This window comes from Homo sapiens, chromosome 9 (assembly GCF_000001405.40).
Source record: "Homo sapiens chromosome 9, GRCh38.p14 Primary Assembly".
Classification (NCBI taxonomy): Eukaryota; Metazoa; Chordata; class Mammalia; order Primates; family Hominidae; genus Homo; species Homo sapiens.
This window is the reverse complement of record NC_000009.12, coordinates 72797919-72824631: the sequence shown is the minus strand read 5'-3', so window position 1 is coordinate 72824631 and position 26713 is coordinate 72797919. Positions and strand designations below refer to the sequence as shown.

General features: G+C 39.0%; 1 protein-coding gene across 2 annotated transcripts in view; it reads right to left on the bottom strand.

Moving 5' to 3' along the window:
* TMC1 (transmembrane channel like 1) overlaps positions 1–26713 on the bottom strand; it is a 316690-nt gene that overhangs the window by 13666 nt on the left and 276311 nt on the right. For both annotated transcript variants that reach the window (NM_138691.3, XM_017014256.2), the window contains 3 exons: positions 19122–19250; positions 8422–8489; positions 3551–3790 (listed from right to left, as the gene is read on the bottom strand). In NM_138691.3, coding sequence (NP_619636.2) covers positions 3551–3790; positions 8422–8489; positions 19122–19250 — 437 coding nt within the window. The remainder of the gene's footprint in view (positions 1–3550; positions 3791–8421; positions 8490–19121; positions 19251–26713) is intronic.

Below are 26713 nucleotides of genomic sequence, written 5' to 3'. Positions count from 1 at the left end.
CCACAGACTCAGTTGGTAGAGGGGAGAGACGGCCTGACTTTGGGGAAGAGTCGGCCTGACTTTGGAGAAGAGACAACCTGACTTTGGGGAAGATGACCTGCCCTTCCTGGCCCCTCTCCAACTGCCCTCTCTGCTGAGAGCCAATTTCATTACTCAATAAAATTCTCCTCCTTCACCATCCTTCAATAATCCATGTGACCTCATTCTTCTTGGATGCTGGACAAGAGCTTGGGACCCACCGATTGTGGGAACCCAGGAAAGACTGTCACACTGGCCCTTTGCCCTCTCCAGTGGAGGGCAGCTGCCCCACATGATGAGGCAAGGGGCCAACTGAGCTGCTAAGACACTGCCATCCATCAGGCTGAGGATGGTGGAACTCAGGAAGCATTGTAACACCCCCTCTGGGGCTTTAGGGTCATAGGCACTTGGGCACCATTGCATTCTCCTCAAGGTGACACACCTGGTCTGGCCACGGGCCCCACATGGAGCTTGCTCCTGTGTCAGTGCCCAGTGTGTCTCGCCAGATCCCGCACTCACTTGCCCACGTGCTTCCTCCCACAAGGGGTTAAGCACAGCAGGCCGAGTAGACAGGGTGCCCCTCTGTGAGTCCAGTGAAGAGGCTGAGAAACATCCTGTGTCAGTACAAGCTCAGTTATGAAAAATCATGCATGAAAGGCAAAACAGAATATAAAATGCTAAAAAGTTGTTATTTCAGGTTTTCAAGATTATGGGCCATGTTTCTTTTCATGTAAAAATATTTCTACAATGTTTAGGTTTTCTAGCATAAACACATATTATCTTTGCAGTAAGATGAAAATATATGAAAAATAAAATTGTCATAATGTAAGCAGGGATGTATATAAAAACCTAGAGAACTATAAATTGTTCAGAATTATTGACATAGATGGGAGGAAACATCAGGTGTCAGGAAATGCTATAGAACAATTAGAATTGCCTTCATCTGGACATCTTTAAATTGTCAACTATTTACGATAAATCCACTTACTAGCCTATTGGAATAATTTCTTGGAAAATTTACCCTCTCTAGCCAGGTCTTATAAAACCAGACAAGCTAGAATATCTCATCAAATTGCTTTACTGAATGGATAAATATACTATAGCCATCTTACCTGAAAACTTCCCTACACTGGAGAGCAACTAGCCATCACTGTGATACCTCCAGTAACCTAGTTCAAATTTATATTTCCTAAATTCCTGCTTGCCCAGGATCTAGATAGAGTCAGACAACCTTCACCAGGAAGGTTAAGCAAATCACCTAAAACTTGGGGTTCATAAAGATGACAAGCTATGAGGCACCCACTAGTACAAGCATACAAGCATTCTCACCTCATTTCTAGAGCAGGACAATCCTTTCAAACTTTTAAGTCCAGACAAATAAACAATGCAAACATCCTTTGGCTCTAAAGTGAGGAAACTGACATGAAAAAAAAAATCTAAATAGCATAGAGATAACCCTTCCCAGTACTCCATTGAAAATATTTAAAATTCCCTGATTTCTCACAAATCACCCTAAAGAACTGACTCAAGTAACCAAACACTACTTGTTCCCCAATAACCTATGGAAATTAAAAAACAAATAAATAATTTTAAAAATAAAAAATAAATTTCCCTGATTTCAAAATAGTGATTTACATGCCATAATTTTGCCTAAGTTTGCCAATTAGGAAAGCCAGAAGAGTTAGGGCTTAAGAAGCTGAAATTGTGCAACTATTGTTCATGTCTAAGACGTATTGTAAATCTGAATGCATCTGTGGAGATCCATGTTTACATTGTGTGGTTTCCCTTACAGGCAGCTAGGGTCCTTTGCTATGTTTTACTGAGAAGGATCAACTTCCAATTAATAGCTTAATGCACACCTAAACTTATCCTGGATAATAAGTAGTGTGAATAATTTGCAATTAACTAAAGCCTTTGAATGGCATATTCCTTGAACTTTGTACTCTGAGATTGGTTCGGAATTTATTGAGACGAATGTCTCATCAAGACTGTAATTTCATATTTAGTCTCCAGATGTCACTGTCTGCATTATTTATTTCAGCCCACTTGGAAACACACACACACACACACACACACACACACACACACACACACACACAACGGAATTAACAGAGCTTCTCAACATCAGTTCTCTGAGTAGACAGAGGTCCAGCTAGTTTAACTCGATCAGCTGGCTTAACATTTTCTTGTTTTCCAGCAAAGCAATAACTCAGACTACTGTTAAGAGTGAAAATGTCTCTTATATACTTAGTCTGTCAGCAATGAACCTTTTGACTTTAATTAAATAACTTGGGTCTGACAACATAATGGAGGAATTATATGTGGGCATTACAGCATCATGCATATCATTCACATGGCTTTTTACAGTCTCATTTCCTTCACTGAAAAGGAGAAACAGCTCAAGTGCATGCTGGCCAGTGAATCAACATGCAGAGATTCTTGGGAGAACTTGTAGTAGATTCATTTCTAAGGCCCTTTAGGGAAAGAAACTTCATCCTCCAGATCCCAGGGACTTAGGTTTCTGATATGTGTCATAGAGAGAAGAGAGCTCTGTCATAGAGAACTGTAGAAATGTGTATCTCTAAATTGGATCAAGGAGCCGTTGTGACTCTCGATTCCTGACTTGAATGATAATTAGGAGAGAATATATATGTGGAACAGCCTTAATTTTTTTCACTAGCATGTGATATTTTGGATAACAAATTGGGTGGCCCTCCTTATGCTCATTAGTATTTAGTAATAATTCTCTTTCCTAGGTAAAGTGTGGGGTATTCTCTCTCTCTCTGTCTGTCTCTCTCTCTCTCTTTTTAAGGTAGTAATGCACAAGAGAAGTAGTGATAGCTGACCACGTCTGGATGTGACGGCCCAGAGTCAGGCAAACTCACATCCAGACCACTGTCATCAGACCTTGCTCTTAGCTATCCTCTAACATGGAAACAGCTCAGATTCACCATACATATTTTACCCAGGCAGAGCCTGGAAAAGTATAAAGTATTTTCTCTTTTATGATTCCCAAATGAGGAAATAGACAGAACTTGCCTAAGAATCTCCATGTCACCTATTGAACCTGAATACCCAAAGGATCTCATTTCTTTCTTTTTTTTTTTTTTTGAGACAGAGTTTTGCTCTTGTCCTCCAGGCTGGAGTGCAATGGCACCATCTCAGCTCACTGCAACCTCCGCCTCCTGAGCTCAAGTGATTCTCCTGCCTCAGCCTCTCAAGTAGCAGGGATTACAGGCACCCACCACCACACGCGACTAATTTTTTTTTCTTTGTATTTTTAGTAGAGACGAGGTTTCACCGTGTTGGCCAGGCTTGTCTCGAACTCCTGACCTCAGGTAATCTGCCTGCCTCAGCCTCCCAAAGTGCTGGGATTACAGGCATGAGCCACTGCGCCCAGCCGGGATCTCATTTCCACCAACCAAAAATGTCATTGTTTGGGGGGAAAAAATAGCTTATACAATGAATGACCATTCCCACCTCCACCCCCGAAAGAACACGATGCCTGAGTCAAATTTCAAAAGCAAGAGACCTGAATGGACCACAATCAAAAGATGGTGGGAGGGACACGATCATGTACAAGACAGGCATTGTGGACAGGAAGAGGATGAGCAGTAGCATGCCCAGGTAGAAGTTATTTGATCTGGAAGCTTTGAAGACCCTGGCCTCAGGAACATTGCAGCACATAACGGCCCAGCACTGGAAGTACATGGATGTATGGAGTCGAAGGATATTGATGCCTGGGAGGCTGGGAGCAAAGAAGGAGCCCATCCTAGAAAGAAAACAGAACTCTGCTCAGTTTTGAGTCTTTACTCCATAACAAAGTCACACTGCACCTGTTTATTTGACATCATGCTTCTTTTCCAAAGGCAGAAAATACACTGCCACTTTCAACCAGACAAACCCTTTTCATAAAGAAACTGCACTTATCTATTTCCAACTTCTAAACACATTTTGCCACTTTCCCCATTATTGTAGGAATTGCATATCATAATTATTTCATAGAAAGGATGCTGTAACTAACTATACCTACTATCATTAGTGAATTTAAACTACAACAGAGTAAACAATATTTACAATTGTTTTACTTCTTTCTTCTAATTCTAAAATAAACTTTCCCCAACACTTATATCATTGACTAATACACCTATAAATATAACTTGTTAAAAATAATTAACCCTTAAAGTCACTTCTTCTACTCAAAAAAACTGTACATTTGCATTAATCACTTCTGTCATGAATAATTAGTTTTTGCTTAATGACAGGAGGTCAAGGTTGCAGTGGGCCACGACTGTACAAATGAAAAAAGTTTTTTGCTTAATGAAAGAAAAAAATTAAAATAAATTTTCTCTTTCTGATGTTGATCATTTTCTCTTTGTAGGTGATATGGTGTTTTAAAGCCAATTGCAATGATGTGTTTGTGCCTCCTAAAATAGGGTTTTATTGAAAATTTATAACTAGCTTATAGGTTTTTGAGATGAAAATTCCACACATTTATTTAAATTTAGTTTATCTGTTTACTTTCTTACTTTAGCTTGTCTTGGGAATTCTCTGCTTTGTGCATCTGAGTTTTTATAAGCATTTTAAAATACTACTTTTAGGTGGGAACAACTTAGGTGTGGTCACTTTTACTTGATGGCTTAGTTGATTATTTCAACAAAATAAGTTTCACTCTTCTTGGATGAGAAAATTCATTAGCACCATAAATCAATATAAATAGCAATTTATTATTTCAAAATCAAAAAGAAGATATATGTGCACTTATTTTAAAAATGTAAGGGGAGCCCTGTCTTTTAAACTGTCCTATCTATAATGAAGCCCTCAACATTTATAGCTAGGTTTAGCATTTTGTACTCCCTGAATAGTTGTTTAGCCAATCCAACGTAAATTTGGTTCATTATAGAGACATTTTTAATTTAGATGAAGAAATTAGTTTCCACTATAATTGAACTTTTGCCAACCCAAAGTTAACTCATTTATTTGAAAAGTGGAATATTGTCACAATTTGGGCTGTCTTGTTGACAAGATTTCGGACAATAGATACGAATGATATTTTACCATAATGAATTGAACAAAGACTTTGTAGGAAGTTAAACTATTTTTTTCTAATGAGAAGACAGATTTTAAAACAATACAGTATACTTTTGTTACAGGACAGCAAGAGAGAGGGAACGCCAAAAAAGTGAGCAAGTAAGCAAGTGATAGTCCCAGCTAATGGGTTAGAATTGCAAAGCACTAGATTATACTCCCCAATACCAATACATGTTGATGTAATACACTTTGAGTCTTCCTAAAAATCAGGTGGTGACATCACTTGTTTTGGCCAATAAAGTATGAATAGAAATTAGGTCCTTACTGCTGGGTAGAAACTTTAAAAGTCCTGTGTGGTTTTCCTTCTCTTCATTCTCTGCTAGTGTGATAGCAATGTTTCAGATGGATCCTATTCCATCAGTCTGGGTCTCTAAAGTGAAGGTAAGTTCTAAGAGCAAAGCTCTTCTTCCACCCCACATTGAACATGTTCCTTTTATGAGCTGCTACGATTTTGAGGTTGTTTCATTGCTGCATAACCTGATCAATTCTAAAATATAATTTTGCACGTAATTCAAAATCGAGACTTGCCTAAAACCACATATATTTGTACCTATATACGTGCACATTGTTTGTATGTATATGCTTATTATTTGTGTATACATCTATAAATAAATTTCAAAATTTCAAAATAAGTATCACAAAGACATTTTAAACAAATAACTCAAGAGCCATAAGCTAGAAAAATAAGTCCTGGCATAATAATATCCGAATGTTAATGCTCATCCTATCTTTACTCATGCATTACTAATCAGCTCGGCTCACTAAGTCCCTTACCCAGGCATGATCCCATCATCTGTCAGTAAAAATCATTGTAACACTTTAGCCTTATAAAATTCTTTTCTTCCTGGAAGATCAAAGAAAATGAAAGCTTCTTTTATTTAACTCTCCTTATTACATCAGCGACATGTACATGTCAGGTAAATTATTCACATCTGATCAACTGAGAAAGTGAAGAAAAAAAGGTGATAAACCTGGCGGGAGAGTACCCAGTGAAGCAGTGTTGGAGCAATGTCCAAAACTCATTTTCTCTCTCACTGTGTGTTCTCTGCCATTTCTCAATATCCTGCTATGATAAAGATATTCTGTGCTTTCATCATTTAAAAATATTAGCACAGAAACTATCATGTGTATTTCAAAAAATAAGTGCGTAAATAAAGGTTACTAATCATTCAACCAAATCATAGCAAAATGGATTTTATCTATAAATGTTGATGTTAACAACATCTGCGTAAATAACCTCCACTACTCAGCGATTCCTAAAGGAGTAATTCAATATCTCCAGTCACAAGCCAATGGAATTGAATAAAACATCCCCGTACATTTTTAATTGTTTCTGTAGAAAATGGTTAAGCTCAGGCATTATATCCTCATGCTTCATAAAATAATGGAACGATTGTGTGTGAGGACCTTTGTGCAGAGTCAGCCTACTAATTTTACATTACACCTGCCCCACACCTCCCTCTACATGACATCCCCCTCCCTCATCAGCCTCCTAGGGTTAGGAAAAGAATATTTGTGCCAAGCATTGACGTGAAGGTGAATAATAGAATAATGGTCAGTTTGCTTCTGGAACTTTGGAAAGTGTGTGAATATCTTTGTATGCTCAAAAAACTCAATATTCTCTTCAAATTAGCCAGAAGCAAGCTTGACCACTGTCTGAAGAATTAATAAACAGAAAAAGACAGTGCAGAGATTTTGATAATGGATCTGCCCACGAGAGAACTGGAAAAACATGTTAGATATTTAAGAATTTCAATATGAACAATAGTGGACTAACATAGTTGCAAAATCAGTAGTGAAACCAAGCAGGACAGCCATTATAACAGCTTTTCTGACAATAAAAACAAATTTCTAGACCAATCTGTTGTCTTAACTCTGAAAGAACACAATCGACGTGCAGCATATGTCTGCGTGAATGGTACCCATGAGGCCTGAAGGATTTATGACACTTTGTGTAAAAGCCACTGATAGAACAGTGGTTTCTCATTACTCCCATAGCCGTGTTAGCCATTTTCTGCCATAACAGCAAATTGAACTCCAGGAAATGAAAGCTCAGAACCCACAGAAGCTGCTCCCTTTACTTCTGTGTCAGTAGACGTTCCTCGGGCCACCTTGACTTTCCTCCCTGCTTGGAAAATGTAGGATGCATTTCCTTCCTTAGTGAGTCTGGACATGTGAGTCATACTTGGAAAATTTAGAAAGGAAGGGAATAAAAATTAGATTTTTAAACCTACCTGACAAAGGAGGAAACAATATTTTTATAATATCTTTTCCATATTGATTCACCTAGTCAGGCACAGGAATTTAACAGTCATCCCATGGCAGGACGATGGAGCCCTGGAGAGTTGTCTTTGTGTGACAGAAGCAAGACGGTTTTAGCATTTGCAGAGGGGTCCGGTGTCTGTCAGCACCCAAAGGTTTAATAATTCAGGACAGATCTATTGGTACAATATATGAAACTTGTTCAAAAACTGAGTCTATACCGGCACTTGTGAATAGGACAATGGTATGGTTGGCAGCATAATATTGTCTTAGGCACATGTCCCCAGGATAAAGTAGCCTTATTGTAACTGCTTGTAGGCTGGAAATCTGAAGTGACAGATTTCCAAGACACATGGTCCCCAGATGAATCGGATGTCGTGATTCAGTTTTTAAACTCAAAAACGATTTCTACTGTATCGACTCATCTTAACCTGTCAAGTTTACAGTGAGAATGCTCTAATTTGATAAAAGATATGACAACCCTTCACACATCAAAAAAAATAATTCTGATGTGCCATGGCCCTATAAAACAAGTTACAAAATGAAGATCATATTTTAACTCGACCTTCCTAAAACATGCGTTTCATCTCGATAAACTATTGGATTTGATAAGGTATTATTTTTAAAAGTAGCTATAAGTTACATTTTAAATATATTTAGTAGTGACAACAAAATAAACTCGGTCTCTCGGAAAGGCCTTATGTTAATTTATTTCATACTTATCATGTGGTAATGTAATTATTAATGTTTTAATATTAGATCCTGGCGTCACAAAATATAAAAATATAGTCCTCAAATAAATCTGCTAACCAGAACACAGACTCCCATTATTTGATGAAGAAGTGCTTTGCAAAACAGAGAGACACCTTTGATGACTGACATTTAAGATATGAAAGAAAAGGAAACTATATACAGGCATCCACTTTGCAAAAGTAAATATGGAGTTAGACACCGATTGTATTCTCCTCTAACACCAGGATTCAATGCTGTATGCAAAAATAACCTGGGAGGCTTTTCTGTAAGTGATAAGCTGTCCAACAGCTGGCCTACCAGATCATGCCTTGGTTGAAGATCAGAGCGAGGACGTTGCCACTGATGTCGAATTCGGTGTATGAAGGCTAGAGGAGACACAATGTTCATTGGATTAGCGTCTCACATGGTCAAAACTGAAAGGCAAATTGTTCTGCATAGGCATGGCTAGGGTTTCAATTACTTCCCTTCAGCAACAATAGCAGAATAATCACTAGGATAAGTAACCAGATATAAATAAAACAAAGAAAGCACCTTTTTTTTTTTAAACACAGTGAGACTCATTTTTAAATGCTGTCATCCAATGCTATGAAAGTACAGCAAGACAGGCTCCCTTATACACTGCTGGTGACAGTAAAAACTGTAGCAACCTTTCAGAAAAACAATTTGACAGTACATATTAAAAGCTTTAAAAATCTTATTCTTTTTGATTCTGTAAGAAAACTTCTAGAATCTGTCTTAATAAAATTATCTGATGTGATGATAAACTTTAACAAGCAATGATGAAACCATCTAAGTGTTGAACATTAGTTATGTATATACAGTATATTTATACTATGATATATTGCAATGAATTACAATCATTTTGAAAGAATATTTATGTACATGAGGAAAACTGTGCTCTAATGTTAAACAAAAAATATAAAGCCACACATTAATCAACTATATGAAACTATGCACAAAGACTGGAAAATAATCAGCAAGATAGTCATACTTTATATGCGGGTGATGAACTATAGTTTTCCTTTTCTTTTTCAAGTTTTGCATATTAAAAATTTTTTCAATGAAAATGTGAATTAACTTTAACATAAAGTAAATACAGCAAAAGAAATATAAAAAAAGCTTAAGAAGTTACTCAATTCAATGTCCAGTCTCCATGTCTTGGATATTAACCTTCATGCTCAGGGCAGCAACACTAGGCTGTTTTTTGTACAGAGGAGCCACAAAAAACCAATAGAATGGAAGTGGTTAACTGTGATAGGGTGGCCCATCTAAAGGCTTCCTGGTGATGCATTAGGCATCCTAACAGGAGATTCTAACAATGGAGTAAATGCTAATTAGCAAGGGCAATAAAACTGGCTCTTATTTAATTTGGGATAGAGAATCAGAGGAGACTGACCAACTGGTAATAAGGGAATAAGAATGCAGTAAATACGAAATGAGAGGGCCAAGAAGACCACGAAAAAGACACCAAGACATTGGCAGGTTCCTAGCACTGCTCAGATCTTATTATCTCCAGGTGTGCTTCAGACCACACATATCCCCATAACAGCTCCCTCCCCAACACACACACACACACACACACACACACACACACACACACACACACACACAAAGATGATCCAAGAGAGCCTCTGTTCCTCCCAAACCCAAGAACTCAAAAATATATTTGTAAAAAGATAGAATTGGTTCCTGATTTGGAACTCCAACAAAACCATTCTCAATTTTCAAATGCTTGGCCTCAAGAGTCTCATGAATCCAGGCCTCAACTTCATCACTTTCCTAAAAGGCAGTATTACTCTCCTATTCAACTGAAACATAGGGACAATCTCCCTTGTAACAGATTCAGGGAAAGAAGAGCAAGTATGGCATAACAGGAATGGTTAACCCTCAAGGTAAAATGATAGGATGATACATAATGAAATAATAAAGAGTCCTGTGTATTAAACAGAACAAAGATGACCTGGATAACTGCAGTATCACTCTAGATACTGTTGAAGGACAGCTACAAAGTGTTTCGTTAGTTTGCCGACTTTCTAGAAGGGCAATGTTCACAAGAGGCAAAAAGGTTTGGTTGACAGTTTTTGTGCTGAAATCATCAATGGAAAAAAAATGTGTCCTTCATGGAGAAAAATGAACTGCTTCTTATCTGGAGAACATTAACTCTGAGTCTTTTTCCTTCTGGGGGAGTGCCCTGCTCTGGATGATCTTCAGCACTTTTCCCCTGGAGCCCTGTGTGATCACAGAACACATCTGAAAAATGCTTACTCGGTTGGCCCGTACCCATCTGTTGCCTTGGAACAGCCTTTCTCTGTCTCTGTTTAAAAATCAAATCTTAAGCCTTCGCCTCCTTAGAATGGTATCATGAGGTGGCCCACCAAACTACTGAACGTGGAGAAAACTCAACGTTTTAAATGCCTGTTTTCTTCACTCTCTCACAAGCACATAGAGCTCCTGAGGGTCATTAGAGATGAGACATTTTATAACTAGTTGACTAGAAAAGCATAAAGGACACCCTAGGGTCCCTAGCTTCCTGCTGTGTTTGCAGCAGGGACAGCTGGAGGAACAACCCCCTTGATCTATAAATTGGCCTGATGCACAGAAAGGATACAGGGTGGCCATACTGGACCAAGTGGATTTGTAGAACAGACATTTGACTGGGATTCAAACCTGCATTTTAGACTTCACTCTACCATTTCTTAGCTAGGTAAGCTGGGCAGGTCACTTATCTCATTAGGCTTAGTTTCCTGACACATAAATCAAAAATGAACTAGACCAAAGGTCAGCATACTATGGCCCATGTGCCAAATCTGGACTGCCACCTGTTTTAACAAATAAATTTTATTGGAATACAGCTATATTCATTCATTTATATATTATCTATGACTGGTACTAAAACAACAGCATTTAGCAGTTATAATAGAGACACCATGGCTTGCAAAAGCTAAAATACTTACTATCTAGCCCTTTACAGCAAAAGTTTGCCAACCTCTGAACTAGTTCATTTCTAAGATCCCTTTCTAGTCTAAAAATACGTTATTGGTTGAAAATTAGAACCAGTTATGAAAGAATTGCTTCTCTGTAAACACCTTAGAAATGGAATTTAACTTATGCAATAAACACAGAAGCTCTCACTTTAAAACTAAAACAAAAGAGAAGGCAGAAAAACTACACATATGTAGTATAAAAGTCAGTGCTCATTGTTTTAGAGGTAGGCTTTTATAAACATTAGGTTATATTATATTTTAAATTTTTAAAGCAATACTTTAATAAATATAAATCAATTTGCAATATATTTTGTTTGTCTCTAAAATAGAAAAAGCTCAAAGGTAAAAAACGGTTAGGGAAAAAGAAAAAAAAACAGATTCTCTTGAACTTTGAGATCATAAAATTATTTGAATGAGCTAAGTGTAATAAACTCACTAATGACTGCTCATTCCTGGTAAGACTGTTGGGGGCCAGCATCAGAAAAGCCCATGTGGATTTGGGCTAAAGTCCATCATAGTTGAGGGATTGGAAATGATGTTGTTTAATTTTTGGACCTTTGCTTGTGATGTGCTAAGTCAGTCATCCACCCAGAGGGAAGACATATGGTGCTCACTTGACAAAGAAAAAGCCTGGGAAGATCTCTTCTCTCTCTGCAAGTTTCATTATTTGAGGCAGATTGCCAACCTGTGGATAATATGAAATGCAATTCAGGATCTCAGAGAGAATTAATTCTGTTGTGGAATGAGTTGCCTGACCTTCTGCACATAAATCCCATTTCTCACAGCTGGAATCACTCTGCTTAGAGCTGCAAGCTAGTCTGGGCTGTGGCTCCAGAGCAGTGGCTTTTGAGTGTGGTCCTCAGACGAGAGTCAGCAGCATCACCTGGGAACTTGTCAGAAAAGCACATTCTCGGGCCTGGCCTCAGATCTACTGAATCAGAAATGCTGTTTTCACAGGTCCTCAGGGGATTCTGATGTATGCTCAAATTCCAGAAGCACTGATCTAGGACAAACTCTAGCCTCGTCTGCTAGGATGATTGAGCACTTGAGGCTTTGTACTTCAACCCTAGTTGAGAATAGGATCCTGTTAACTGCAGACAGATCCTGTCCACATATTCAAGGAACACTTAAAATACAGTCTGCATTGTCCCTGTTCCCATGTTCTCAACCCCTTATGGGATGCTGATGATTTCTTCCTGATTCTTTATCATTCTACCTTCCCGAACTGATATATAATATCTCCACGTTCCCAGCTAGAGAACAGTTGATCTTCTAATTCTGTATCCCAGTTCATTTGCTAACTCCATTCTACCACAGGTAGCCTGCCTAAGCCTATGAGCACTTTGAGTTCCAAAAGCCATAGGTTTAGTGTATGAATTATTCAAGTTTTGGCAGAATTTTTAAAATTTCTAGAGTCAAGCATTACGGTGTAAATTCAACATGATGGAAATTTGGTTGATGGCTTTGAAGGTGATGAGACTCGAGTTTCAGGCCTAACTCTACCACTAACCATTAATGTGTCTTTGAGCAATTATTTAACATCCTCTAAGCCTCAGTTTACTGTAAAGTAGGAACAATAATACCACCTCACAGCATTGCTGGTACGATCACATGGAATAATACATGTAAAGTATTTTGTAGAGTTTCTGATACAAAATAAGCAGTACATTGAGATGTGACATAATACAATATAATATGATTGGGAATCCACTAAGGTAGTCAGTCAATTATATGCCTCTTATTTATGGATAATCCTGAGCATCCTTCATCAGACTTTAAAGAAGTCTCCCATCGCTGTTCGGCTCTCACTTACGAGTGAGCAATGATCACCTTAAAAATACAACTGTGAACACCATGCTGAGTTTATTGAACATTCCCTTACCCCATCATGCCCTGAATCTAATTCTATTTCTTCTTGAATATTCTTTACTTGCTTTGCTGGTAAATAGTAAGAATGGTGTCAATGAAAACTGAAGTGAAGATAAAGATATTCTGCATTGAACTGCCAAAGAAAACCCAAAGTTTACAAGAGGGCACACTTTGTATTAAATTAGAGCAGTTAAAATCCTTCCTAGGGACAAACTATTCTACTCCTCATGAACTCTTCTGAAACACTGAGAACTGTGCTCAGAGAAGCCTTTGGAGACATTAACTTACATTACATTAACTTACATTGGTCTGGTAATCTGCTCCAAGCCAGTAATTTTTCCACCTTAGTTAATCTTCATAGGTTTGTTGTGATAACATTATGACCATAAATTTGTGTCTTGAAAAATATTCACAATCCCTTTTAACCCAGCTTACTCAGATAGAGCCAGTACAGAAATCAATACATTTAACATAACATTTTCGTCCAGAAGTGTACTTCATTGTCCTTATTATTCTCTGGCTACATAAACTTAGGAACCTCATTTCAATTCACAGATGCAATTTTTCATATGTTAAATACATGCATTACAACTGGTTGTGTCAAAATCCACCTAACTTTAGCATTCTATAGATCTCTGAATCTAATGCTGAAATCTGCAGAGTCTCTACAGAGGCTGTTGTAATAAAAGTGAATAGACTTTTTTAAAGCCCTCTACTGTGACTGAGCAATTCAACTCAGAGAAATTTATCATAAGAAAATAATTTGTACATCCACTATGATTTATCTATGAAGATACTTATGTACATGGATATAATTAAATGTCATCACAACACTTATTATCATAAGAATAATTAGACAGTTCAACTTAAAGCAAATTAAAAACTAATTAGATTAATTATACTACATTTGCATACAGAATATTATACAACCATTTAAAAGGTATGTTACAAAACAACAGTTAATAGCATTGGGAAATGATCAGTGTTAGGTAAAACAAATAAAAGCAAGTAACCAGTCTACTCTACTACCTGTTTACACACATATATACGTATACAAAAGTATATATGTGTATATTTATAAAAATCTGTTACTATATATAAATATGTAGCACTTGTTATCTAACACTATTTGATTCAACAATCCAAATAATTAATCTCATTAGTGGCAGAGATTACCTATGATTTTTACTTTCATATTAGCTTTGTTATATTTTCCAAATTTTCTACAATAAACTGGCATTATTTTTGGAATTCAGAAGAAAAAAATCATGTGCTTTGTGTGTGTGTATACATGCACATGCATGCATACAGTAGAAAGGACCATGATTTTATCTTTTATTTCTGACAGAATTCTCAAGTATGTCCTCTGCCTATCTCAGGTTGTCCTTCCCTTCATGACAGGTACTTTCTGAAACCATATTATTGATTAGCAGGTCTAGGAGAATAGCAGAGAAACATTCTTATTAGCCTTTTCTGCTCTAAAACAGCCTCATTTTAGTTTTTTTTTTTTTTTTTTTTAATCTATGCCTGGATTGCCCACACTATCTATCTCTGGTGCTCTGTCTTACACTTGTCCCTCCACCGGGAATTCTTTCTTTCATCTCTTGAAATCCTGATCATTCTTCAAGACTTAGTTCAAATGTCTCCTCCTCTGTGTCTGCATTTCTACTGATGCACGCCTGTCTCTCTCTCTCTCACACACACACACAAACACACACACACTTTCTCTTCAAGGGCCATACAATTGATTTCTCTATTTATATCGGGAGCTTGTAAGAGAAAAGAGTGGTGAAGAGTATGAGGAACTGGAGAATGAATATCCCAACTGCAGATGGCAGTGGTTTCTCAACTCCAGCCAATTTCTCCCTAGTGGGAATACAGATTTAATGTTGCCAGCCTTTCAAGAAAAACAATAAATCCATGTGTTTTTATGTAAGAGCTCTCATTTTAAAATATTAGCTCATAAAAAATGAAACAAAAACAAACACCACCACTGGGCATACCAAACAAAAATATCCATTAGCTGAATCTACCCTGCAGGCCAAATTTGCAACCTCTACGTAAGTCTACATCTTCTACATCCCTGTATTCCTTTATCACCTAGCACAGAGTTTGTTCATAATGGCTTGCACCTAGTAGGCCCTCACCCGTGTAAGCTATCCATTTGGTAAGTCAATGACAATGGGATCTACATCAAAGATTCGTCATCCATCATTAATGTTTTAAAACTTGTTTTGATTCTGACAGAGCTTTTTTGAGCCTTCCAAAGGTAACGTGGGAGAAAATTCCTTCTCTGTGACCTAAAACAGGAACTTGTCTTTTTTCCTGTACTTTCTACTAACCCAGGAACACTGTCAGCAGTCAATAAATAATAAATTACAGTCATTTAATTACAGCTTTTATGCATCCAGGTCATGTAATATTGACTTCATATTTGCACTCAGATTTTCTGCCACTTAAGAAGAAGGCAGCCAAGGGATAAAAGGTAAGTACAAGCCAAGCAATGGTCTAAGGAAGAAATGGCAATTTTTATGTCTGCCTCAGAGGAGCTGAATCAGGTAAGGAAAATAGAAATGAAACCAAGCCAGCTGAATACCTCATAGCAAAGAATGGGAAAGCAACACAAGAGCATCCTGTATCTGTAGCCATTACCTCACTGTCGTTCACCGAAGAGCATTACCTAACTGCTTTTGGCCAGTCCGAGGAGGCACTTTCAATGAGGGTGATGGAGACGACCTTATAAAAGGTACCATCTCAAAGTCAGACAGCCAGACAGATCTAGCCTGAAATCTTGAAAACAGTCCTAACTGTTGGACTCATCCAGAGACTAGAGGGCAGGAGATAAAAGAGATAGAAGATCAGCTATAAAGGATATTCCCTCACTGGTGAGGAGAGAAGCATTACTGGCTCAATAACTCAAAAACATTACAAACACTGAGACTCCATGGGCACATGCTTCGAAGGAGGCAGAGTTCTGGCAATAGACAGTGCTGCCTTGATGGTGCAAAAATGAGAAGGTTCAACATTCAAACAGCCAGCCAACACATGCTGCCTGCTACGTGACTCACACAGTTCAAATAAGAGAGGTCAGGGCCTCTATTTTCATAGAGTATTCTTTCTAACAGAGGGAGATAGACCATGAGTACATTTTACAAGAGTAATGTCAAATAGATGCACATCTTATGAAGAAAACAGAACAGTGTGTTGATATAAACAGTGCCTGATTGGCTACATTAGAATAGGTGGTCAGAGAAGAGCACTAAGGAGGTAACATAATAGCTGAGTCTTTAATGACAAGAAGAAACCAGCCATTCCTAGCTCTAGGGCAACAGCACCCCTTGCGGGAGAAACAGCAATTACAAATGCAAGGACCATCTTGTGTTTGAGCATAAAAAGCAGCCCATGTTTGAGCATAAAAAGAAGCCCATGTGAACTTTACAAAGCAAGAGCAAAAGAGGTAGCAAATGACTTGAGAGAGAAAGAAAAGGAGCAGATCATCCAGGGTACTGAAGGCCTAGAAAGGGATTTGGAAATCATTCTAAGTACTTGAGAAGCCACTGGAAGATTTTAAGCAAATGAGTACTACCAACCCCCCAGGTCATATTTTCCAGGATGACTGAGACCAGTTTGACTCAAAGGAGGACAGTGGAAACCAGGCAATGTGCTAATCACAGGGTGATGAGTGTGCTGTTGCCCTCAGACTTTGTTGGGGGACCTGAGGATGACCATAGAAGGAAAGCTGGTGATGGAGTCAGCACCAGTGTGGTTCTGAGAGACCTGAGCCATTGTTTCAGGAAAAGAAGCCGCCCCTGCCAGAATTCAGCTCCACCACTTGCCAGATGCATGACAGCAAACTAGGCCTTCCTTGAACCTTCTGCAGCCTCTTGTGTGTGTCTCTTTCGAGCTCTTATTAGACTGTGAACTTTGTGAAGCAAGTACCATATTTATCAAATCCTTTTATCCACCCCATCTACTGCACAGTGACTGGCATATGATAGTATCCAGGAGTTTAGTAGAATTCAAAGGCATAAATAGAATATGCAGTTGATATTAGCCATCTTTCCCTGCTTCTAGAAATGCTAGTAAACTTATAGGGAGAAGGTGGGCTACAGGGCCAAGATTTACTGAGTTCAACATTTCAGCTGACAAGTTGAGGTCCATTGCTTTTGCTATCTTGTGCTAATTTTACTAGAATATTGTAAACCATGATACTCGAGTCTGAACTTCTCTGCATTATAAATGTACTCATTGGTCTTCATTTATTGCACCTAAAACGGTGATCCCATCCACTAAACTCTATGATGCCTTTCTCTTATATAGTGTGTGTAAATGACGAATTACAAAGGAAAAACCTTATAAGCGCAAAATTACTCCCTCTCCCTCTCCCCATGGTCTCCCTCTCCCTCTCTTTCCACGGTCTCCCTCTCATGCTGAGCCGAAGCTGGACTGTACTGCTGCCATCTCGGCTCACTGCAACCTCCCTGCCTGATTCTCCTGACTGAGCATGCCGAGTGCCTGCGATTGCAGGCTCGCGCCGACACGCCTGACTGGTTTTGGTGGAGACGGGGTTTCGCTGTGTTGGCCAGGCCAGTCTCCAGCCCCAAACCGCAAGTGATCCGCCAGCCTCAGCCTCCCGAGGTGCCGGGATTGCAGACGGAGTCTCGTTCACTCAGTGCTCAATGGTGCCCAGGCTGGAGTGCAGTGGCGTGATCTCGGCTCGCTACAACCTCCACCTCCCAGCCGCCTGCCTTGGCCTCCCAAAGTGCCGAGATTGCAGCCTCTGCTCGGCTGCCACCCCGTCTGGGAAGTGAGGAGCGTCTCTGCCTGGCCGCCCATCGTCTGGGATGTGAGGAGCCCCTCTGCCTGGCTGCCCAGTCTGGAAAGTGAGGAGCGTCTCCGCCCGGCCGCCATCCCACCTAGGAAGTGAGGAGCACCTCTTCCCGGCCACCATCACATCTAGGAAGTGAGGAGCGCCTCTGCCCGGCCGCCCATCATCTGGGATGTGAGGAGCACCTCTGCCCGGCTGCGACCCCGTCTGGGAGGTGAGGAGCATCTCTGCCCGGCCGCCCCATCTGAGAAGTGAGGAGACCCTCTGCCCGGCAACTGCCCCGTCTGAGAAGTGAGGAGCCCCTCCGCCCGGCAGCCGCCCCGTCTGAGAAATGAGGAGCCTCTCCGCCCGGCAGCCACCCAGTCTGGGAACTGAGGAGCGTCTCCGCCCGGCAGCCACCCCGTCCGGGAGGGAGGTGGGGGCGTCAGCCCCCCGCCCGGCCAGCCGCCCCGTCCGGGAGGGAGGTGGGGGGGTCAGCCCCCCACCCGGCCAGCCGCCCCGTCCAGGAGGTGAGGGGCGCCTCTGCCCGGCTGCCCCTACTGGGAAGTGAGGAGCCCCTCTGCCCGGCCAGCCGCCCCATCCGGGAGGGAGGTGGGGTGGTCAGCCCCCTGCCCGGCCAGCCGCCCCGTCCGGGAGGGGAGGTGGGGGGTCAGCCCCCCGCCCGGCCAGCCGCCCCGCCCGGGAGGTGAGGGGCGCCTCTGCCCGGCCGCCCCTACTGGGAAGTGAGGAGCCCCTCTGCCCGGCCACCACCCCGTCTGGGAGGTGTGCCCAACAGCTCATTGAGAATGGGCCCGGATGACAATGGCGGCTTTGTGGAATAGAAAGGCGGGAAAGGTGGGGAAAAGATTGAGAAATCGGATGGTTGCCGTGTCTGTGTAGAAAGAAGTAGACATGGGAGACTTTTCATTTTGTTCTGTACTAAGAAAACTTCTTCTGCCGTGGGATCCTGTTGATCTGTGACCTTGCCCCCAACCCTGTGCTCTCTGAAACATGTGCTGTGTCCACTCAGGGTTAAATGGATTAAGGGTGGTGCAAGATGTGCTTTGTTAAACAGATGCTTGAAGGCAGCATGCTCCTTAAGAGTCATCACCACTCCCTAATCTCAAGTACCCAGGGACACAAACACTGCGGAAGGCCGCAGGGTCCTCTGCCTAGGAAAACCAGAGACCTTTGTTCACTTGTTTATCTGCTGACCTTCCCTCCACTATTGTCCTATGACCCTGCCAAATCCCCCTCTGTGAGAAACACCCAAGAATTATCAATAAAAAATAAATAAATTTAAAAAAAAAAAAAAGCAAAATTAACATCATACTTACATATCCATACTCCAAGTCCCAGCACCAGCAATAATTGCAAAACCTCACAAAACATGCCCTTAGAAAGTCCCCAATGAGGATTGTGACGTAGGTGGTCAGAACATCAGAGACTGTCAGCCTCACAAACTCCTGTTGAGATATTATCTCTATTAAAACACACAGTTCTGTCTTCAAATGGTCCTAGTGTTGGTATTAAATCTGTCATATTTCTAAAGAAGTATTGGCTTGAAGACTGCAATTAATGGCAAAAGAAGAAAACAACTAGTCATATCAAGTAAATAAAAAATATTTCACCCTGACTTTATTACTTAAAAAATAATTATTTCCCGTTTACTAAATCAAAAGTTTTCTTCTTACTGAGAAATTTCATAAACATGATACGAGAGCCAAAAACAGGAAAATATTGGCCACACAGCAGTTTAAAATTTTATGTGGTGAATAGCACTATTTACAGACTTGAAAGACAAATGTGGAAAAAGTGCTTGCAACGTATATGATAGAGGGTGAGTATTGCTAACACATTAAAAGATTTTACAAATCAGTATGAATATAGATTGGCAATCCAATAAAGAAAGAAACCAGCAAAAGTCACAAATTAAAAATTCACAGAAGAACATATACAAACGGTCCGTTAAAATTGAAAAATACCGAAACCCCACATAATAAAAATACAAATGAAAACAATGAGTTGTTGCCTCACGAATGACAAATGTAAAATCCATGCTTCTTCATATTGGTGAGTGTGGTGAACTAGCATGAGCATAAACTGATGGGGAAGTTAAACCGGGCACAACGTTGGGAAGAAATTTGTTAAGATCCATCACATTTTAAAGTGTTTGGAGCTTGATCAAGAAAATCCACTTTTAGAAATGCCTATGACAGCAATATTTGCACATGTGCACAAATCTATACATACAATCATGAAAGTACTGCTTCTTCCAGATTAAAAACGGAAAAATTTGAATATGCTTGGGAGACTAATTAAATAAAACAAATTAAATGTCTGCACAATGGTATATTGTAAGCCCCTAAAACAAAATGCTATCGTGATGCTGGATGCATAACTATGTGAATATATTAGAAACCATTGAATTGTGTATTTTTTTAAATTTTTTATGTCTTCTTTTTTTATTTTAAGTTCTGGGGTACACGTGCAGTTTTATTACATAGGTAAACACATGCCATGGTGGTTTGCTGCACCTATCAATCCATCACCTAATTATTAAGTCCTGCAATCATTAGCTATTTTTCCTGATGTTCTCATTTCTCCCTTACCCCCGACCAGGCTCCAGTGTGTGTTGTTCCCCTCCCTGTGTCCATGTTTTCTCACTGTTCAGCTCTCACTTATGAGTGAGAACATATGGTGTTTGGTTTTCTGTTCCTGTGTTAGTGTGCTGAGGATAATGGCTTTCAGCTCCATCCATGTCTCTGCAAAGGACATGATCTCATTCCTTTTTATTGCTGCGTAGTATTCTATGGTGTACATATAGCACATTTTCTTTATCCAGTCTATCATTGATAGGCATTTGGATTGATTCCATGTCTCTGCTATTGTGAATAGTGCTGCAATGAATATACGTGGGCATGTATCTTTGTAACAGAATGATTTATTTTCCTTTGGGTATGTACCCAGTAATGGGATTGCTGGGTCAAATGGTATTTCTGGTTCTAGGTCTTTAAGGAATTGCCACACTGTCTTCCACAATGTTTGAATTAATTTACATTCCCACTAACTGTGTAAAAGCCTTCCTATCTCTCTGCAGCCTCACCAGCATCTGTTGTTTCCTGACTTTTTAATAATCACCATTCTGACTGGTGTGAGATGGTATCTCATTGTGGTTTTGATTTGCATTTCTCTAATCATCAGTGATGTTGAGTGTTTTTTCATATGGTTGTTGGCCACGTGAATCTCTTCTTTGAGAAGTGTCTGTTCATGTCCTTCACCCACTTTTTAATGGGGTTGTATGTTTTTTTCTCGTAAATTTGTTTAAGTTCTTTGTAGATTCTGGATATTAGATCTTTGTCAAATGGATAGATTGCAAAAATTTTCTCCCATTCTGTAGGTTGTCTGTTCACTCTGATGAGAGTTTCTTTTGCTGTACAGAAGCTCTTTAGTTTAATTAGTTCCCATTTGTCAATTTTTGTTTTTGTTGCAATTGCTTTTGATGTTTTCGTCTTGAAATCTTTGCCCATGCCTATGTCCTAAATGGTATTGCCTAGATTTTCTTCTATGGTTTTTATAGTTTTGGCTTTTATATATAAGCATTTAATCCATCCTAAGTTAATTTTTGTATAAGGTGTATAGACGGGGTCCCATTTCAATTTTCTGCATAGGCTAGCCAGTTTTCTTAGCATCATTTATTAAATAGCGAATCCTTTCCCCATTGCTTGTTTTTGTCAAGTTTGTCAAAGATCAGATGACTGTAGGTCTGTGATCTTATTTCTGTGTTCCCTATTCTGTTCCACTGGTCTGTCTGCCTGTTTTTGCACCAGTACTATGCTGTTTTGATTACTATAGCCTTGTAGTATGGTTTGAAGTCAGGTAGTGTGACACCTCCTGTTTTGTTCTATTTGCTTTGGATTTTCTCAGTTATAAGGACTCTTTTTTGGTTCCATATGAATTTAAAAATGTTTTTTTTCTAATTCTGTGAAGAATGTCAATGGTGGTTTAATGGAAATAGCATTGAATCTATAAATTATTTTGGGCAGTATGGCCGTTTTCACAATATTGATTTTTCCTATCCATGAGCATGGAATGTTTTCACATATGTTTGTGTCCTCTCTGATTTCACTGAGCAGTGGTTTGTAGTTCTCCTTGAAGAGTTCCTTCAAGTATGTCCCAGAGATTCTGGTACATGGTCTCTTTATTCTCATTAGTTTCAAGGAACATCTTGATTTCTGCCTTCATTCCATTATTTACTCAGGAGTCGTTCAGGAGCAAATTGTTCAATTTCCATGTAGTTGTGTGGTTTTGAGTGAGTTTCTTAATTTTGATTTCTAATCTAATTGTTCTGTTGTCTGAGATACTGTTTGTTATGATTTCAGTTATTTTGCATTTGCTGAGAAGTGTTTTACTTCCAATTATATAATCACACAATGCCCAGCAATTTCTGTACACTCATAAATAAAAAATGAATGAATGATAGTATTCCTGTGGTTATTTTTGGACATAATTTTTCTCCTTCCTACTCTTTGTCTCCTTTCCTTTCCTAAGGCAGTTCTTTGTATGTATGTATGTATGTATGTATGTATGTATATATGTATGTATGTATGTATGTATGTAGAGACAGGGGTCTTGCTATGTTGCCCAGGCTGACCTGGAACTCCTGGACTCAAGCAATCCTCCTGTCTCAGCCACCTGAGTAGCTGGGACTACAGACACATGCCTCCATGCCCACCCTTTCCAGGCAATGTTGAGCTCAGATTCTAATAACTAGCATCAATTAGAGGAAGGCTATGAGGGATATTTTTAGGTTTCTACTGCCAGGTCTAGAAGACTTCCTCAGGTAAGAAAACATTTCAGAGTGGTTTGGAAGTCCTCCACATCCTCTTAAGCATCCTCATCCCAAAGGTTGAAATTCTATTCCTTCCCAAGCAGTGACCTAACTTTCACATAAAATATCTGAAGAAGATTCAAACATTGTATTAAAAATTTTAAATGTTTATTCATATACCATAGGAAAAATATATTTTAAAAGAAAGAGAATCCAAACAATGGTAGCCCAGCCAATCTCAAGGATATCATCCTAGTTCCTTGTGTGCTTGTCAGGATGGGGAGCACAGCCCCCACACAGGCCTCCTGCTAAACCCCACACTCCACACCTAAAAACTTTGCACACGTGATGTTAGTTAAAATGCCTGGGCAGCTTTGATCAATAAAGCTAAAGAAATAATTTATTAATAGGTGAAGGGAAAACAATAGGCAAGGAACATCATAAAAGGCCACCAAATATAGACATTGCAGGCAGGAGTTTGGGGAGTGTGTGTTGATGCTAACTGGGGGACAATTTAGCACTGTGAACAAAGACACAAACTCTGTAAGCAGACTATGTAGGCTGAACTGGGGCTCCTGTCATTGACTTTCTCAGAGATCTTGAGCAAATTACCTAAGTCTCAGTCTTCTCATCTATAAAACGGAAATAATAATATAACGTATCTCAGAATGAAACGTAAAAATTTGAGGAGGAAATACTTGGCACATTAGCCATTTTATCTTCAGCTGTTGCTTTCTCCCCTTCCCCAAAGTGAAGACCTCAGGATATAGCTTCAAAGAGGAATGGCTCTGCTGCCCACCTATCAAATCCATTGGGGATGAAACTAAATGATTGCTTGGGAATCTGCAGAAGTAAAGGAGCAATCACATTATCCTATATTCAAAACAATAAGTGCTTTGAGTCTCATAGCATCCTTGGAGAAAATCAAAGCAGAGGGTATCCATGGAGGAGAAGAGGAAACATCTGTAATGCTCTCATAGAACAATGAATGAGGGTGCATATCTAACATTACATACAGAGCAGCTGCCTTTACTATTTTTGGAGGCATATTTTTTAAGCAATTAAAGAATAGAAATTTTAGATGCATGGATACAGATATTGATCTCTTAAAGGCCAGACCTTGCCAGCACTCAGATTTGTTATGTCCTATATGTTCTTTTTGTTCCCAGAGATTCCATCTGCCTAATCAACATTCCAGTCAGAACCACAACCCCTTTTCCCTTGGCCCGCTTCTGCAGACTTTCCCACTAGAGCTTAATGCTTCCTTGGAGAAAGGAAGGTGAAAGATAAGGGGGAAATCCAACTAAAATGGCAGTAAGAAAATATGATGAAGCAAGGAAAATCACTACAGACAGGTTTAAAAAAAAAAAAAGACAAGCAGCATAATCCACGGGCTTCCAAGGTGGAGGATTAACTAAATGGTATTTCTTCTCTTTTAAGTCAGTATGTGTGGGACTATCGCAGAACCATCTGCATCTGAAACATGAATATTCTCCTAGATTGCATTCGCATTCCTATCTAATTAATCCATTCCTTCACTCCAGAAGTGGCCAGCCCAGATCCTACTCTTTACAGCTAATTCTATTAATCCCATTCAGTAGATGTTTTTGCTTGTTAAAGTGCAGGTTTCTTAGCTTTCAGGCCAACCTGTGTTCTAGGATGTGCAGAAGAGAACGTCTCAAATTCCTTCAGTTTCTAAAACTGTACTTCCTATATTTTCCTTTCTTGAATCGTATGCTGAAGATTTAGGGAGCGGCTTAGTTGTGATAAAACAGACTCGTGTTAAGCACCACAACCAGACTTCACTTCAAAAAGCCATGGAACAGGGAGACCCAAGTACCATGATGTACTCATTTCCTATTGTTGCTGTAACAAATTGCCATAAATGTAGTGGTTTAAAACAATGCAAATTTATCTTCTTACAGTTCTGGAAGTCAGAAGTCTAAATTCAAAGTGCAGACTTGGGAAGAGAATATGTTTCCTTTCTTTTTCAGTTTCTGAGGCCACCTGCATTCCTTGGCTCTTAATCTCCTTCCTCCATCTTTAAAGCACATCATTCCAACCTCTGCTTCTGCTGTTACATCTCAATTTTCTGACTTTTTCCCTTTATCTCCTGCTTATAAAGATCCTTATGATTTCATTAAGCCTGCTCACATAATCCACAATAATTCTTTCAAGCTGAGATCTTTAACTTAATTTCATCTGCAAAGTCCATTTTGCCATGTAACATATTTATCGTTCCAGAGATTAGAATGTGTACTGTTATAGAGGGCCATTATTCTGTCTACCACATCCTGAATCACAAGCACTCCTGTATTAAGTGCAGATGACTTTGATTTTATTATTTCATATGTAATATGTTCCTGTAAGTTGTATGAAATGTGCATGTCTGAAAATCAAATTAATAGCATATATCATCAAAGGGGGGATTTATCTGGTTCCCGAAAGCTTAACAAATAAAATAAAATAGAATTTTCAATTATACCATAATTTTTGTACTCAATCATTAATGATACATGTCTAGCATTTTACACATTTATCTTATTTTTTTCTTTCACAGTTGAAATCTTGATTGGCTTAAGTTTGATGAGCATCTGATTGAAGCCTAAGATATATTTTTACATATTTGTTTAAATTATATGAATTTTATAAGACTAATGCTAGTCCTTCAATTTTTATGTTATCTTACCAAATAATGCAGTAAAAAATTGTTCAAATAATTTCACAAACACTACATTCAGTGCTAAACTCAACTGTTGTCTAACATACAGAAGCTTTATGACAAAAGCTGTTCTCAATGATAATCTGAAGCCCCAAAATCAATTTATGGACTGCACGTTAGGAATATCAATTCTAACTAAATGAAATCATAAAAGCTTTTCAAAATATAAATTGGATTTGTATAAAAATACGAGATCTGAAGTAGATTTTTCTTGGGTTTTGTTTGGTTTTATTTGTCTTGGTTTCCCTTAAGGGATAGAAAGCCATATGAAACATTATTTCTTTTCTCTGGTAAGGTATGGCTAGTCTTGGGCTGGGGTTATTTACAAAATCATCATGAAAACAAATAACTTAAAATAGTATTTTTTTTCTTTTAAGGGAAAATTATTTAACAAAAATTGACATTATTAAAATTTCTTAGTGTGTGCTCCCCAAATTATCCATTAAAAAAAAACTTTTATTTTAGGTTTAGTAGTACATGTGAAGCTTTGTTACATAGGTAAATTTGTGTCATGGGAGTTTGTTGTACAGATTATTTTATCACCCAGGTATTAAACCCAGTACCCAATAGTTATCTTTTCTGCTCTTCTCCCTCCTCTCACCCTCCACCCTCAAGTAGACCCCAGTGTCTGTTGTTTCCTTCTTTGCGTTCATGAGTTATCATAATTTAGCTCCCATATAAGTAAGAACATGCAGTATTTGGTGTTCCTACATGAGTTTGCTAAGGATAATAGATCCATTTTTCTGCAACAGACATGATCTCATTCTTTTTTATGGCTGCATAATATTCCATGGTATATCACATTTTCCCTATCCAATCTGTCATTGATGGACATTTAGGTTGATTCCGTGTATTTGCTATTGTGAATAGTGCTGCAATGAACATTCACATGCCTGTGTCTTTATGATTTATATACCTCTGGGTATATACCCAGTAATGGGATGACTGGGTTGAATGATAGTTCTGCTTTTAGCTCTTTGAGGAATCGCCATACTGCTTTCCACAATGGTTGAACTATTTTACATTCCCACTAACAGTGTATAAATGTTCCTTTTTCTCTGCGACCTTGCCAGCATATTATTTTTTCACTTTTTACTACTAATCACTCTGACTGGTGAGAGCTGGTATCCCATTGTGGTTTTGATTTGCATTTCTCTAATGATCAGTGATATGAAGTTTTATTTCACATGCTTGTTTGCCGCATGTATGTCTTCTTTTGAGAAGTGTCTGTTCATGTCCTTTGCCCACTTTTTAATGGGATCCAGTTTTTTTCTTGTAAATTTGTTTAATTTCCTTGTAGACTCTGCATATTAGACCTTTGTCAGATGGATAGATTGCAAAAATGTTCTCCCATTCTGTAGGTTGTCTGTTCACTC